This window comes from Homo sapiens, chromosome 14 (genome assembly GCF_000001405.40).
Source record: "Homo sapiens chromosome 14, GRCh38.p14 Primary Assembly".
NCBI classification, from domain to species: domain Eukaryota; kingdom Metazoa; phylum Chordata; class Mammalia; order Primates; family Hominidae; genus Homo; species Homo sapiens.
Window position 1 is genome coordinate 68911161 of NC_000014.9, and position 15672 is coordinate 68926832.

Below are 15672 nucleotides of genomic sequence, written 5' to 3' on the forward strand. Positions count from 1 at the left end.
ACCTAAGCAAAAGCAGACAATTTAAAAATTGGAAAAGCTAATGCTTCTACTTAGCTTAAGCTCTTCGTCAGCTAAATCACAAGAGTAACACAATGATGACTGCAGAGCTGACAAGAAGTCCACCCAAAAGAATCAAAATCATCAAGAAGGCTATTTGAGAAATGGATTTACATCCACTATCATTAACAAGAACCACACCCCAGGTGACTACTATGACCCTCTTTCCAACCACTTCAACCCTAAATACCAAGTACCCATAAACCGAACTTGGAACTCTACATTGCTGCATCACAGAGTGTCACACCTAGATCTCCATCACAAAGCAATTGAATTGAATCCACGTTGTTTTCATTAAGAAATTCCTTTGATTAAAAATGTTTATGATGTCTATGCCATTAAAACAAATATTTAAAAAATAGTATCTCCATCTCATCTTGTAAAAGTTTGTTTCAGTATGTGTGTTTTATCACAGGCACAACAATACACAAATATTATTATGCAAGATAAATACAGGCATAGCAGACATAAAGCTCAAAAACTGCCCGAGTGTGGAATCAAGCGTAGAGATCACCTCTCCAGACCATGGCGGCCCTTGCAGATCTGTGAAATGGCCACTAGAGGGTGCTAGGGGAGCAAAGTGGAGGACGGGGTTAGCGCCCCTCCTGGTCCTTCCTCCCAGCCGCTATTTCCCCACCCTTTCAGATTAACAACCCAAGAGCCAGGTGGGTTTTCCAATATACTTCCCCATGGCAGCCTTGGGCTTTCCCAAAGTGGGGAGTTTCCCTGAGGCCAACATGCCTATGAGAATCAGAATGGCAAACAGTTCTTTTTTCTACATTGACTGGAGGAGAAGGCTGATGCCCAATAAATGAGCAAGAAGCCCAGGACATGGCCCCTGATCAACGTCCGTTGCCCTGGGTATGGGAGTTCTCCAGGCTAAGCCCAGGGAGGGAGACGAGATGGTGATGGCGGGATGGAACAAAGCAGAAACCCACCTTCCACGGAGATGTCCTGGATGGCAAAGCGCAGGATGATGGTCCAGATCATGCCCAGGGTCATCTTCACATTCCCATCCACGATTTCTACAGAAACAGCAGCAGCACACATCAGAAAGGGCCTCAGCGGGGACAGAATTAACACTCCCTCAGCACCCACAGCACTCCATGCCCCACGCTAGGAATCAAAAGACTCCAGAGCTCTACTTCTAGAGGGAAACAGGATTTTTGCTTGTTTTTGAGACAGGGTTTTCGCTCTGTCACCCAAGCTAGCGTGCAGTGGTGCAATCATGGCTCACTGCAGCCTCCAAATCCTGGGCTCAAGCGATCCTCCCATCTCACCTTCCTGGGTAGCTGGGACTACAGATAGGCCACCACACCCGGCTAATTTTTTCATTTTTTGTAGAGACAGGGTCTTACGATATTGCCCAGGCTGGTCTCAAACTCCTGGGTTCAAACGATCCTCCCACCTTAGCCTCCCAAAGTGCTGGAATTACAGGCATGAGCTACCATGCCTGGCCTGGATGTTTCTTAAAGTTAATGCAATAAACTGTGACAGGTGCTGGAAGAGAAGTCTATTTGGGGCACAAAAAAAGGGTGTAATCAATCCTAGTTGGAGACAGTGGGTACATCAGGGAAGGCCACAGAGAAGGGGGCATTTGAAATCCTGATCTGTGTTCCCAGCCTGATGAAGAGGGGAGGATTTCTAAGCAATCACAAATGTTCTGGCAATTCTGTGAGCTGGGGCTCTCTGGGCAATCACAGCTCTCAAAATAGCCACCCACACGTGGAAAAACAGTGGAATCAAGAGAAAGTCACAAACTTAAAGTTTTGTAAATTGCCATCTTGAACTATCCACTGACTCAATCTCACAATGCCATCAGTTTGGGTATTAAAACAGATGTTTTTTTAAAAAATCAAACAATAGCTTCAAGATCACAGCTAAGAGATAACCCAATATATTTAGTCTAAGCAGCACCTTTTAGAGTTTTAGAATCTACAAGTTCTATGAAGTAGATTTTCTCTTTTTTTCTGTACCAGGCCTAATGGCAGGGAATACAACATAAATAAGCCCTATTTTAAGGAGCCCAATACATGGAGCAATCTATGGTCTTGTGGTTGAACAAGTGATACTCAAATGTAGATTCCACACCCACTCATCACCTGCTTCCAGACCAGGAGATAGTAATCCGGCCCATGGTAAGACACGCTCAGTTAAGAGTAAGGTACCCAAAGAATATCTTTTTTTTTCCTACCTGCAACATTAATTTTAGGGGAGACCCAATAGAACCATGAGAAGGATCAATTTCTAGGCAGTTCTGACCCTACTAGGATTTGCATCCCACAAACCCCTGAAACAAGAGTGGATTTCCATTAAGGATGGTATACTCTAACATCTTAGCCCCTTTCCCAAAAGTGAGGGCAAAACTGTATGCTGTTCCATGACCAGCCGGGTGTAGTCCATGGAGCAGTGCTTGGCCACAGCCACCTCCCAGGGGAGCGGGTAACCTGCTGAGTCTGCATGGGATGCTGAGCAAAGGAACAAGTGTCCACTTTGGACTTGGAATAGGATGTAACCCTTCTTGTAAACAGGGAAGTAAAAATGCCCCTCCCAGAGCCCCAGACACCAGGCGGGGCACAGTCCCACATCCAAATGCTTGGGTTGGAGAGAAACAGAGAGCTGAGCAGCATGCAACCCCTTTTGCTACCAAGCAACACAGCCAGCCAGCATTTTGCAGTCCACATTGTGGGGAGGTAGTACTACTCATCAAGAATCAACTCATAGACCTGGCACAGTGGCTCGAGCCTGTACTCCCAACACTTTGGGAGGCCAAGACAGGTGGATTGCTTGAACCCAGGTGTTCAAGACCAGCCTGGGCAACATGACAAAACCCCATCTCTACAAAAATACAAAAATTAAACAGGCATGGTAGTGCCTGTAGTCCCAGCTACTCAGGCTTAAGTGGGAGGATTGCTTGAGCCAAGGCAGAGGCTGCAGTGAGCTGTGAATCCATCCTGGGCAACAAAGCAAGACCCTCTCTAAAAAAATGAATAAATAAAATAAAAAAGTAAAGGAATCGGCTCATAAATCTTTGATATTTTAAAAAATGCACTTTCATTTGTTATTTCCAATGGTTTAAAGAGTTCATCTCAATTGAAAAGACAATTGAAAAATACTAAACTCTCAATAAATAGGCAAAAGACAAAAAAATCATAAAACATGAAATACAAATAACCAATTCACAAGAATGTTCAATCTCACTTGTAATCAAAGAAATAAGATCACCTTCCCAGCTATTAAATTAGCAAAGTTAAAAAACAAAGTTAGGCTGGGTGAAGTAGCTCATGCCTTTAATCCTAGCACTTTGGGAGGCCAAGGTGGGAGGATCGCTTGAGCCCAGGAGTTCAAGACCAGCCGGGGCAACATAGGAGACCTTGTCTCTACAAAAAAATGAAAAAATTAGCCAGGTGCAGTGGTGCAAACTTGTAGTCCTAGCTTCTTGGGAGGCAGAGGCAGGAGGACTGGGGACTGAGCCCAGGAGCTCAAGGTTGCAGTGAGCTGTGTGATATCACCGCTGCACTCCAACCTAAGCGACAAGTTGAGACCCTGTCTCTTAAAAACAAAACAAAACAAAACAAACAAAAAAACCCAAAGTTGAAAACCACACGCCTTGATGTCAGCAAGGCCACCACACTAGAAGTGTAAATTGGTTTAAAAAACAATAATAATAATTTCTGGGAAATTAATCAATTAATCTGGGAAATAATTTGGCCACAAGGAGCACGCATTTTACAGTTGCTCAGCTTTTTGGCAGTATAATTTTATCTCCAGGAATCTATCCCTAGCCAATGAAAGGAAATGCAGAGTAAGGTTCCTGAATGAATGCACTTGCTGCAAGGCTATTTATCACACCCCGTACTTAGAAACCTCGCAAAGGTACACAGTACACAGAATGACCAAGTAAATCCCCAGACCCCATATCACCCTCTGCTAAAAAACCTCCACAGCTTCCCACCTCCCTGAGAGTCAAAGCCAGTGGCCAGAGAGGCCCTCGTGGTCTGGCCGCCTGGGCCTCTTGTTCCCCCTCCTCCCCCTGCTCCTTCTTCCCCTCCTTCTCCTCCTCCTCCTCCCCGTCCCCCCTGCTCGGGCCTCCCTGCAGCTCCCCTTCCCTAGATACCCACGTGGCCTGTCCCTGCCTCCTGCCAGTTTCACTCACACGTCCCCTTCTCATGGACACCTCCCTTGACCACCCAAGTTCCTCCCTGCTTTGGTTTTCTCCATCTGACAGGTGTACATGTGTATTTTCTCTCTTTCCCCTCTAGAATGTAAGCCCCTTGAGGGTAAGAATACTTCCTGTTTTGCATCACTGCTTAGAGTTCAGTATGAAGCCTGGCACAGGCAAAGCCCCCATCAGCATCTGCTGAGTGAACGAATGAGTGAACAAACACTAACCACAAGTGGGGGAATGGGCAGAGCTAACACAGGCCTGCCATTGGCCCCCTGAGAACACAATGGACCTCAGTCTCTTCCAGGGCAGGGCCCAGGCCTGGGACGAAGTACGACAAACAGATGATGAGGCCAGACGCAGTGGCTCACACCTGAAATCCCAGCACTTTGGGAGGCCAAGGTGGGACAGATCACTTGAGGTCAGGAGTTCAAGACCAGCCTGGACAACATGGCGAAACCCCGTCTCCACTAAAACAGAAATTAGGCAGATGTGGTGGCACATGCCTGCAATCCCAGCTACTCGTGGGGCTGAGGCAGGAGAATCGCTTGAATTCGGGAGGCGGAGGTTGCAGTAAGCTGAGATCGTGCCACTGCACTCCAGACTAAGCAAGAGAGCGAGACTCATCTCAAAAAAACAAAACAAAAAAGACAATGAACGCAGACATTAATGCTTATGAGTGCTTAATAACTTAGAAAAATTTTTTAGCATGGGAAGTGGGAAAAGCAGGTAAAAAATTTCATAAACAGTGTTTAAAATATAAGGGAAAAATTTTTTAAGCCTAGAAAAAAGCTCTGAGTGGTAATCCCATGGTTTGGCCTTCCTAGGAGTGGGGCTGCAATGCTAGCCCTCCCTTGGTCCCCCACATGCTGCCCCACTCTGTGACGGCCAAACTCCAGGGCCTCCCGCTGGCCCTGAGCTCACTGCCTGCAGATTTGCCCTCTTGGAGTCCTCCCGGAGGGACTGGGAGAGGCAGGTGGCTTCTTTTTAGGGTCTTGCCTACTTATTCCTCTTCTTCTTCCCCAGAAACTCCCCAGAGAATTTTGCTTACTGAATTCTCATTCACACCAAAGGCATAGTTTCACTCCAGAAAACAGAGGCGCCAAGCACGAGCATAGAGAGTAGGGCGTGCTTAATTAGCAGCCCATGCACGCCCAGCCCCAGTTCCCACCTGACTCCCATCCCATCCACTCTCCTTCCCCTTCCCTGGCATGGCAGGTCCTGTATACCGGGCCTCCGGCTTCTCAACGTTTGCAGCAGGGGTGCCTCATCTCTCAGGCAGCTTTATGTCAGGGACTGCTTAGAAGGCTGGCCCCAAAGGGAGGGTTCCAAGGCCACAACTGGGCTTTGTGGAAAAACCTTGGTGACAGATTAACAGCGTCTGTAATGTAGACCTTCTTGGTCTACAGCGAGCTATGAAGCTGCTCACATCCCCTGTTTACTGGGAACATGTTTCTCCCTCCTTCTCTCTCCAGGGACACCGTCATCTGTTCAGTATTCAGACGGCAGAATGAATGCTGCAGAAATTCCATGTGACAGAAACTAGAACCCCAGGGGCCACCACCTCCCAGACCAATGCTGTGGTATGGCACCCACCGCCCCCTCCATCCTAAAGATACATGCTACCTCACTGAGCCCACCTCCATGCTCACAGCACCCAAACCCTCAGGCTCCACCTGCCCAAAGACCTTAAAATACAAAATCCTTTTTGAGTTCTCTCCCCTGGTTAACTACATTCCAACCACTCACCCAGGCCAATTCCATGAAGTCTATGCATTCTAGAACCAAATATCGTAGGGGAGACCTTAAGGATCTGCTCTAACCTCCCCTTTATGTGTGGAAGCTCCTTGTCTCCAGCCTTCATGTGCACACCTTCAGGGACAGGGAACTCATAACCCTCCCAGAGCCCCGGCTCCATTTCCCAAGGCTCCCAGAGTCCACCTACCTACAGGGTACCTATTCTGGGCCTGGTTCTGCCCTTCGGAGTCAGCCAGAGGTCTTAGTCCTTGCACTGCATGATAATCCTTCAAAGACTTTGGTGGGGGGTGAGGGGTGTCCCTGCTGGGCCTGGTCTCCACAGTCACAGCCTTCAGCAGCCCAGGATGGACAACCTGCAACGTTCCCCCGCTCCCCTTCCAGGAGAGCTCATTCTATGCCATCTGCCCATCGCCTTTTATTTTATAATCGACATCAATAAACTCCATTTCACTTTTAAAAGCCCACAAAACGCCATTTGCTGCCTCATCTAGTTTCTTGGCTCAGCAGAGCGGCCATTGTGGCATAATCTTGGTGCTCAGCCTGATGGGAGTGGATGATTTCACTCCTGGAAGCCACAGCTGAAAACACTGGCTCCTCAGGGCAGGGAGAAGGTAAAGAACGTCTCACTTTAAAGGAACTTTTCGTCGGGGCGTGGTGGCTTGCGCCTGTAATCCCAGCACTTTGGGAGGCTGAGGCTGGCGGATCATTTGAAGTCAGTAGTTCAAGACCAGCCTGGCCAACATAGTGAAACCCCATCTGTACTAAAAATACAAAAATTAGCCAGGCGTGGTGGCACAAACCTGTAATCCCAGCTACTTGGAAGGCTGAAGCAGATTAAGAATCACTTGAGCCTGGGAGGTGGAGGTTGCAGTGAGCCAAGATCGTGCCATTGCACTCTAGTCTGGGTAACAGAGTGAGACCCTGTCTCAAAAAATAAAAAATAAAGGAGCCTTTTCAAAATCTTTAGAGAAGCTAGGCCTGCGTCAAAGGAAACGGGAAAACTGAGGCTGCCAGGTGAATGACCTTCCCAGCACAGCAGCAGCAGTGAGATGAGAGTTCACGCCAGTGTTCCTCTCACTCCTCACCCCTGAGGCCAGCATGGCAGGGGCAGGCTTGATCTGCCATCTCAGTACTGAAGACAATTCGATGTGAAAGTTCTGGCCGGGCGCGGTGGCTCACGCCTGTAATCCCAGCACTTTGGGAAGCTGAGGCGGGTGGATCACGAGGTCAGGAGATCGAGACCATCCTGGTTAACACGGTGAAACCCCGTCTCTACTAAAAATATTTAAAAAAAAATTAGCCAGGCGTGGTGGTGGGCGCCTGTAGTCCCAGCTACTCGGGAGGCTGAGGCAGGAGAATGGCGTCAAACTGGGAGGCGGACTTGCAGCGAGTCAAGATCGCCCCTCTACACTCCAGCCTGGGCGACAGAGTGAGACTCCGTCTCAAAAAAAAAAAAAGAAGTTTCAGATCTTAGGCCAGGCGCGGTGGCGCACACCTGTAATCTCAACACTTTGGGAGGCCGAGGCGGGCGGATCACAAGGTCAGGAGATAGAGACCATCCTGGCTAGCACAGTGAAATCCCATCTCTACTAAAAAAAAAAAAAGAAAAGAAAGTTCTGTCCTGGGCTCTGACTGGGGAGGCAGCACTGCCGACAGTAACAGGAAGAGGAAGGCCTCAGCTCTGGAGCCTACCCCTGGGTTTAACCCTGGATCTGCCACATAGAAGCAGTCTGGCTCAGAGCCTGGGCTCAACTGATGACACTCTTCCACTCTAGCAACTTTTCTGAGCCTCAGTTTCCTTAACTGTAAAACGTGGCTGGTGATACCCATCCTACGAGCCCATCATGAGTGTAGCAGGAGATGGCCCACGTAAAGCACCCTGTCTAGCAACACAGAGCGGGTACTCGGTGAGTGCTATTCTCTTCCACCTTCCCCTTCCCTGCCCTCCTCCCCTTTGGTAGAGGCTTTAAAGAGCAAACAAGTTATTTTTTTAAATTTAGTTGCCAAATTTTTCTTTTCAAAAAATCTGGATTTCTGGCTTCTTTTGAAAAACTGGAAGATCTAGCAGCACTGGATCCACACAGCAGCAACTTCTTACATCCACAAGGTGCCCATCCCGCTTAGGACATGACTCTCTAGCTTGCCACGGTCCCTACCCACCCCTGCCACTGACCCCTGAACCACTTCACAAATTCTCTACACTTCCCTGCCCCAGGGGCATCCGAGCCTGCACTAACCACCTGGGTGACTTTCTTTGGCTTCCCACGCCTGCTTAGTTATAACTTTTTCTGCCAAGTCTTGAATTGCTCCCTAATAAAGCAAACTGTTCTTTTCTTATTATAAGGCAGAGAACATCTTCCTCATCACAAAGCAGATTATACTGCTATATGTAAATCCTTTTAACATGTATTGAGCACCTACTGTGTGCATCATGCTGCTAGGAACTGGGGCCACAGGATGTAGAAACCAAGGTTTCTGCCTTTGAGAAGCTCACAGCTGGTGGGGGAGATGCTGGAATCCATAAGGCACCTTGCGTGACCACCTTGGGCACTGGCCTGAATTCCAGATAAGGCAGAGGTGAGCAAACTTTTTCTGTAGAGGGCCTGATAAGAAATGTTTCTGGCTCTATGATCCATATAAGCTCTGTAGCAACTACTCAACTCTGTCATTGCAGCACAAAGCCACTGATGATACATTAACACCGGTGTGCTGTGTTCCAATATTTCCAAAAATCCAAATCAGCCGGACTCGACCCCATGCACTGCAGTTTGCTGAGCCTGTGTTAAAGTTCTCCATTTGATAAATATCCCTCCATTTCTAGAAGAGAGGGGACTGTAAGCTTCAACCAGAGAAGAGATCTGCTCCTATGGACTTCCCAGGAGCAAGACCCCTGCCCCCTCCAAGGGAAGGCCACTCTCAGGGCATTCCTCTGGTGTCACGAAGACCTGCGTTTGAGTTCTGGCTTTGCCACTTACTGATGGCGGAACCTTGAGGAAGTCACGTAATCTCTTTAAGCATCTGTTTTCTTATGGCAAAATCAGGATAATTAATTCTTAGAGCTACCTCATAGGGTTGTTGTGAGGATTAAGTATATGCCACAGAGTGAGCAATCCATTCTCACAGCCACGATGTGTCTTGAATGAGTGAGATTCGTTCATCTTTAGGTCTCTGACATCACGCAGCAGGTGCCCCATAAATACTTGCTAAATCCATGGTCACAGGACTGAAGGGGCCTGGATAGAACATTTTCTGCCCACTCTAAACAACCCACTCTCAATTTTTCAGAGCCACCACCATGCACACAAGAAATTACACTACCTTCTTTTAATCATTAAGGAAATGCTAATAGCTTTTTTGGTAAGTGTTTCTAAGTAAAAGTTAAAGAGTTAGGAAGCTACACTGCAGGGAAATGCTATTAAAAATGTTCCTAGAGGCTTCGGGACTTCAGTCTTCCCAGGGCCCCGGGGAGTCTCGGGGCAGCCTCCAGCCTCCACCAGCCTGTGTCTGCACACCCTTTCCAGCCCATACACAAATCCTCTGCTCCAGGCAACACCGTGCAGTCAGGCCTCTGGATGGGGGAGGTGGCATGCCACACACACAGGACTCCACAGAGCAAGGACGTGGCTAAGCAGGTGCAGGCATGGGAACAGGGGTCTAAGTCCTTGGTTTTGGGCAGGGCTGAGACTAGAAGAAAAGCGCTGTTGCAATACAAAGCCTCCACAGGCGACCAGATGGAGGTGCTGGGGACCCACTGCCCAATGCCCCCAAGTGATGCATGGGCCCAGGAGGCAGCACAAAAAAGGCCAAGAGAACCAGGGGGACAAAGAAAATCAGGCTCCTTGGGGCCACCAGAGGTAGGCCTTACCTTCGGCTCCGATGGACACCAGTTTGACGCCTTTGCTGGCTATGAAATCCAGGGCCTTGTTGACGTTGGAGATCTTGTGCACTCTCATCTTGCCTCGCTCTGGCTTGGCCAAGCGTTCACCTGTTTGGATCAAGAGGGAGGAAGAGGAAGGTGAGACGCTATGAGCCAGGGGCCAGAGCTACTACCACTACACCCTCATCCAAAGCACAGCTTAGCTAGGCAGAAGCATGTGCATGTGTGCACGTGTGTGTGTGCTCACACGCTGCTCAGGGGCTGGAGAATGTCACCCTGGCAGGGAATGAGAGGGAGAATCTACCCTGCCTCTTCTTTCTTCTGCTTCTCAGGTCGAAATCTGCTTGCATCCACTCAACATTTATTTATCGAGCCCCTACCGCATGCCAGGGATTTGGCTGGGTGCTAGGAATAGGGGGGTGAACAAAACAGTTTCTTGCCTTTATGTAATTACAGTCCAGTAGGAGAGACAGACCTTAAATAGAGAAACACAAATAAATATATACAATGAACAAATACAAAGAAAGATCCATGCTCTTCAAAAGAGGAGGAGGAAGAGGAAGGAGGAACTGAGGAGTGGTCAGGAAAGGTCTGAGTCTTTGCAGCCAGGCAAACAAAGCAAGGAATGATGATCAAGGCAGAAGGAACAGTACATGCAAAGGCCCTGAACTCCTTCTAGCCTTCCCTTTGCCCTGGGAGGAGGGTATAGGTCACTCAAGTATTATGGACTTCCCTGGTGTTTAAATGGAGTTGCCTATAGCAGCCCATCCCCATCTGAGAACCACAGTTCTTGTCCTATTATGCTGCCTCCTGTGGGCACCCAGGGCTCAGCTCCAGGTCAACCCTCCACCCCCACCTCCAGATTCCACACAGTAGCTTCTGCTGCTCAGGTTTCAAGGTCAGAACCTTTGAGAAAATAAAGGTAGAGGAGCTGGCTCTCCAAATACCCCATTAACAGCACTTTTATTCCAGAACAAAGAGCATCCAGGGGCCTCCTGAAATGATCTGAGAATTTTCTAAGTGCAGCATAGAGCCATACCTAGGGAAGGGGTATATAGCTTTCAGGGTCTCTAAGGGGCCAAGGACCCCAAAAGGCTGAGAACCACCATCGCAGAGCCTGGAATTCAGGCCCCTTGTGCCTGCCCTGATATCCCGACCACACCCACTGTCTCCCCAGCAGGTCGACAATCTGGCTGCGAGGACTCCAGGGACCAGCCACGGGGATTCTGGGCCAGGCCCACCCTGTCAGAGCAGCACCTCTCCAGGTGGCCTCCCAGCAGCCTGCTAGCTTCTGGAAGACGGCAGACTTCCTGCCACAGATGGGATCTGGCTGTCAGCTCCCAGGGAAGCACAGCTGTTTTTTAAATTAAATCAAGACTTTCCACTTGGGGCCCTCCCAAGGCTCTGGCTGCAACCCAGCAAGGTACCCCAGTATTTCCTGTCCGGGGGGAGATGGCACAGAGGCTCCCTCCCCACAGGATGGATGCAGGCAGCACCACGTCCCCTCCCTGGAAGGCTGCTCCTGTTACAGCCCCAGCCCTTGGGGCCTGTCCAGCTAAGCGGAGTGCCCCAGCCATTCAGCAGCTGTGCACACTGGCTGGAAGGGGGCTTCTGCAAAGGACAGTGGAGGAGGCAAGGGTTAAACACGGGAGAATGGAAAAAGCTTCCCAGGCCTGGGCCAGTGGTTCTCAAACGTCAGTCAGCACAAAATCACCTGGAGAACTGGCTAATCTGTGGCTGTCCAGCCCCTTTCCCCCTCTCACTAAGTTTGTGATTAGGAGGACTGGGTTAAGGTTTGGAAATCTGCATTTTGACAGGCAATCCTGCCGATTCTGGTGTGGGTAGTCCAAGGACCACACTTTGAGAACCTCTGTAGGCAGCATACCCCTCCTTCTCCTCATCCTGGGGCACCCTACCCATCTCCAACGATGATCAGGAGAAAAAGGTATCCCAGCATTTCCTGTCCAGGGGAGAACAGATCATTTCACAGAACAGATCTTTCCCAACCCTGGCAAAGAGACACATGCTTCACAGAAATGCACAGGTCCCCTGGGCACACGTCAGACCTATGCAGCAGGAACACACTGGGTATCATGAGGACAAGCCCGGCTCTGGGCACTCAGTCATTCTAATGTTCCCGGAGCACCGCCTACATGTCTGGTGCTGTTCTAAGCACCTGAGACACAGAGAGAAGATGACCTGCCCCAAGGAGCTCAGTGTGGAGCAGAGAAGAAAACAAGCGAACCGAAAATGACTACACTTTGTGATAAAAGACACAGCAGAGGAATTAATGGGGTATTATAGGTGCTGGGGAGCTGGGCAGGTAGGGGGGTGGTGCGGGCAGGGCACAGTCCACTCAGATTAGGGGAGAGAGGAAGGGTGAAGCCTTCTTGAAGGACACCCTCAAGCTGCATTTTGAAGAATGATAAATTGTAAGGCCAGATTTGTTTAAAACTGGGGAAGGGTAGTGGAGGAGGTAGGAAGCAGGGACATTCTAAAAGGCAGTTAGAGGCAAGGCACGGTGGCTCACACCTGCAATCCCAGCGCTTTGGGAGGCTGAGGTGGGAGGATCACCTGAGGTCAGGAGTTCAATACCAGCCTGGCCAACATGGTGGAACCCTATCTCAAAGAAAAAAGAAAATAAATAAATAAATAACGGCAGAGGAAAACAGCACGGTGGCTCCTCAAAAAATTAAACAGAGAATTCCCATGTGACCTAGCAGTTCCACTTTGGGGAATATACAAAAAAAGAACTGAAAGAGGGATTTTAAAAATATTTTGTACAACCATGTCCTAGCATTATTCACAATACCCAAAAGGTAGAAACAACCCAAGTGACCACCGACAGGTGAATGAACAAAATGTGGGGAGCCATTTTATAGCTGTAGGTCATACATACAATGGAATACGATTCAGCCATAAAAAGGAAAGGGATGGCGGCACATGCTCCAACATGGATGAACCGTGAAGACACAGTAAGTGAAATAAACCAGTGTCACAAAAGGAGAAATACTGTATGATTCCACTCGTACAAGGTATACCTAGAGTAGTCAAATCAGAGACAAAAAGTAGAATGGTGGTTGCCAGGGGAGGGCCGGGGGGAGCGGCGAGCTAGTGTTGAACAGCTGTAGGGTGTCAGTTTGAGACGATGAAGAGCCCTGAAGGTGGACGGTGGCGATGGCTGCACAACAGTCAGTGCATGCCCTTAATACCGCTGAACTGCACCCTTTAAAATGGCTAAAATGATACATTTTCTGTTATATATTATTTTACCACACACACAGGTTTTATCTGAAAGTAGAAAAAACTACTTTTAAAAAAAAAGGGCAGTTAGAGCTTGTGCAAAGGCACAGGAAACAGAAAGTGCATGTCATCTGGGGAGAGCTGCACGTTCCCCCTGCCCCCACCCCACAACTGGCAGAGGATCGAAGGTCTGATACCTTTTTGGGAATAGTTAGTTGAAAACAAAGCAGGTGCCAGCTCATGCAGGATTCCATAAGCTATGCTAAGGAATGTGGCCTGCAGGCTCAAAGCCCTGGAGAGGCACCGCGGGCTGAGGGCTGTGAGAGGGAACAGTGTGACCATATTTGGACTGACTGTCGGACAAGCCCTCTGGCTACAGTGACAGGGGTGGACTGCCAGGAAGAGCTGGGGTAAAGGCCTTTGTGGGATCATCTAGGTGAGAGTTGACACAGGCCACACTGACACCACAACAGTAGGGGTTAAAAGAAGGACTGAGAAGAAGGAATCAGAATAAACAGAACATCAGTAACAACTTGCAAAGAAGAGCTGTCTATGATCCCAGCTTGGGTGCAGAAGAACAGGACTCTGGGAGGGAAAAGAGGTTTGCTAGGGCAGGAGTGACAAGCACAGAGTTTTGGACATGCTGAGAGGACTGTGTGGGACATTGGGGTGGAGACGCCCAGCGAGGTTCAGCATTTCAGAGGTGGCTCGAGGGAGAGGGCTGGGCTGGGATTAGGTCTAAGGCTCACCGGCATCAAGGTGAAGAGAGTAGCTAACATGGCCCAGTGTATCAACCAAGGCTAGACTCACAGGACTCCCACCCCTTAAGGGATGGTGGCAGAAAGGCATTCATAAGCAGGATGAGATGTGTGTTCCAGTAGAGCTGTCCCTCCAGACATCTGGACAAACCAGGGGCTGGGGAATGGCCTGGGTCACCTGGATACAGGTAGATAAGTAGTAATGGAGCCAAGATTTGGAGACAGTCACCCATGGTTAACATTCTTGGCCACAGAATCCTGGCACTGGGGAGGAGAAGGAACCTCAGTTCCTTCAAACCCTTTTTTTTTTTTTTTTTTTTTTTAAAACAAACAAGGATGCTGAAACAAATGTCCAAGGCACCTGGATGGCTGGCAGCAGAACCAGAACTCAGACCCACGCTCCTAGGATGAATTCATACATGTCATCCCCAACTTGTTTCAAGAGACCAAAACCAGCTGCGCTCATAGGCAGAGCAGATGCCAAGGTGTCAGGCAGCACCAATAGACAGTATCTCGTCCTGGGCCAGGTTCCGCCTCACCTGAGATGACCTCCAGCAGCAGCATGAGCTTCAGGCCATCCCGGAAGTCCTCTTCGATGTTCTCGATCTGTGTCCCCGCCTTCCGGAGGTGGGAGTTACACCATGCCGTGAATGTCTGGGCAGAGACAAGAAGGGCAAGTGGTCAGGGGGCTGGTGTTGTCACCCTCATTGGACAAGCCATTTAATGGTGCCAGGGGGTGGGAGGTGGACACCTACTCAGCAGAGCCTCTCAACACAGTTGCCCCACCATGGTCTCATTCACTGCATCAACCAAGCACTGAGCTACCCACAGGGCAGCAGCTGAGGGACCCTACACAGAGCCTGCTACATGGGTGGGAGCAAGCAGGATACATGAAGCAGCAAATTCCCTTAACATCCGCCTCCCAGCCCTCTCTCAAAGACTCATGCCCACCCACATTTGAAAATGCCACAATTCCATTCTTACAAGTTACCTCTTAAGTTATAAGACTTAGTTTCAATCTTCACAGTTTTAAGACAGAGTAACCCCGAAGGAACATATTAAGCCCTGTTGATACCTTAGGGTAAATTAGTATATTAAATCCTTTCTCACTTGGCAGCCAGCTAAGAGAAAGGAGTAGTAAGTTTTGCTGAGAACAGAATTCAGATGCAGGGTGTCAGGACAAGGGAGAAGAGTAAGCACCCCAATGTGTATCTGTGTGTGCTTTGGGTGGGGATAGGGGCACCCTAAGCTGCAAAAGCATGAAGAGTTCCAGAAAGGGAATGTAAGGAGGTCAAATCAAAGACCATCAGCTTCATAGTTACTTCTCTATTAAGCAGATTATGATCAGGTGAGGCAGCAACTAAGCCATCCTGTGCCAACAGCACCAGCTAGTGGCTCAAACAGGAAGAGGGTGTCTCAACAAACATGAGAAACAAAAGCATGCATCGCAGTTTTACATGTCCATCTAAAACAGGTGTCTCTCTCCAGCTGTCTCCACTCTGTGGCAACCAGAGAGAAGAGCTCCCTTGCTTTAGATCTAAACCATTCATTGGCAACTCCAGACTTCTCTGCACCAAATGGCACTACCAATTACATGGGGCTCACCCAACACCAGAGCCATTCAGCTCTCTTCCCACCTGCCCTGCAAAATTCAAAGGATGGGCAGTGTATCATTCATGTGACAGTAGGAGCCACACTAGAAATACTCTTCCTCATGGGAAAGGTCACAGCTTCATGCTCCCCAATCCCTTCCTCCTGCCCTGGGGAACTCTAAAGGTGAAGTGGCAATAAGTGGGTAGGAAGAGGGAAGAACA

At 49.0% G+C, this 15672-nt stretch overlaps 1 protein-coding gene across 24 annotated transcripts in view, besides 4 other annotated features; it reads right to left on the reverse strand.

Annotated features, from left to right (window-relative positions):
- ACTN1 (actinin alpha 1) overlaps positions 1-15672 on the reverse strand; it is a 105175-nt gene that overhangs the window by 37033 nt on the left and 52470 nt on the right. For 23 of the 24 annotated variants that reach the window (NM_001424029.1, NM_001424027.1, NM_001424025.1 and 20 more), the window contains exons 2-4: positions 14398-14512; positions 9846-9965; positions 996-1082 (exon numbers count right to left, since the gene is read on the reverse strand). In NM_001424029.1, coding sequence (NP_001410958.1) covers positions 996-1082; positions 9846-9965; positions 14398-14512 — 322 coding nt within the window. Of the gene's footprint in view, positions 1-995; positions 1083-9845; positions 9966-13910; positions 14037-14397; positions 14513-15672 lie in introns of all 24 variants that reach the window. The other variant, NM_001424013.1, reaches the window with a different exon arrangement.
- Positions 716-835: an enhancer, noted in NCBI's record as "active region_8631". NCBI's record gives its function as "activates an Ori minimal core promoter by ATAC-STARR-seq in GM12878 lymphoblastoid cells {active_cell/tissue: GM12878}" and the evidence as "EXISTENCE:reporter gene assay evidence [ECO:0000049][PMID:35858748]".
- Positions 9713-10287: an enhancer, noted in NCBI's record as "H3K27ac-H3K4me1 hESC enhancer chr14:69387590-69388164 (GRCh37/hg19 assembly coordinates)". NCBI's record gives its function as "activates a minimal SCP1, AML or CMV promoter by ChIP-STARR-seq in naive H9 embryonic stem cells {active_cell/tissue: H9 hESC(naive)}" and the evidence as "EXISTENCE:reporter gene assay evidence [ECO:0000049][PMID:30033119]".
- Positions 12820-13357: an enhancer, noted in NCBI's record as "H3K27ac hESC enhancer chr14:69390697-69391234 (GRCh37/hg19 assembly coordinates)". NCBI's record gives its function as "activates a minimal SCP1, AML or CMV promoter by ChIP-STARR-seq in naive H9 embryonic stem cells {active_cell/tissue: H9 hESC(naive)}" and the evidence as "EXISTENCE:reporter gene assay evidence [ECO:0000049][PMID:30033119]".
- Positions 13358-13893: an enhancer, noted in NCBI's record as "H3K27ac hESC enhancer chr14:69391235-69391770 (GRCh37/hg19 assembly coordinates)". NCBI's record gives its function as "activates a minimal SCP1, AML or CMV promoter by ChIP-STARR-seq in naive H9 embryonic stem cells {active_cell/tissue: H9 hESC(naive)}" and the evidence as "EXISTENCE:reporter gene assay evidence [ECO:0000049][PMID:30033119]".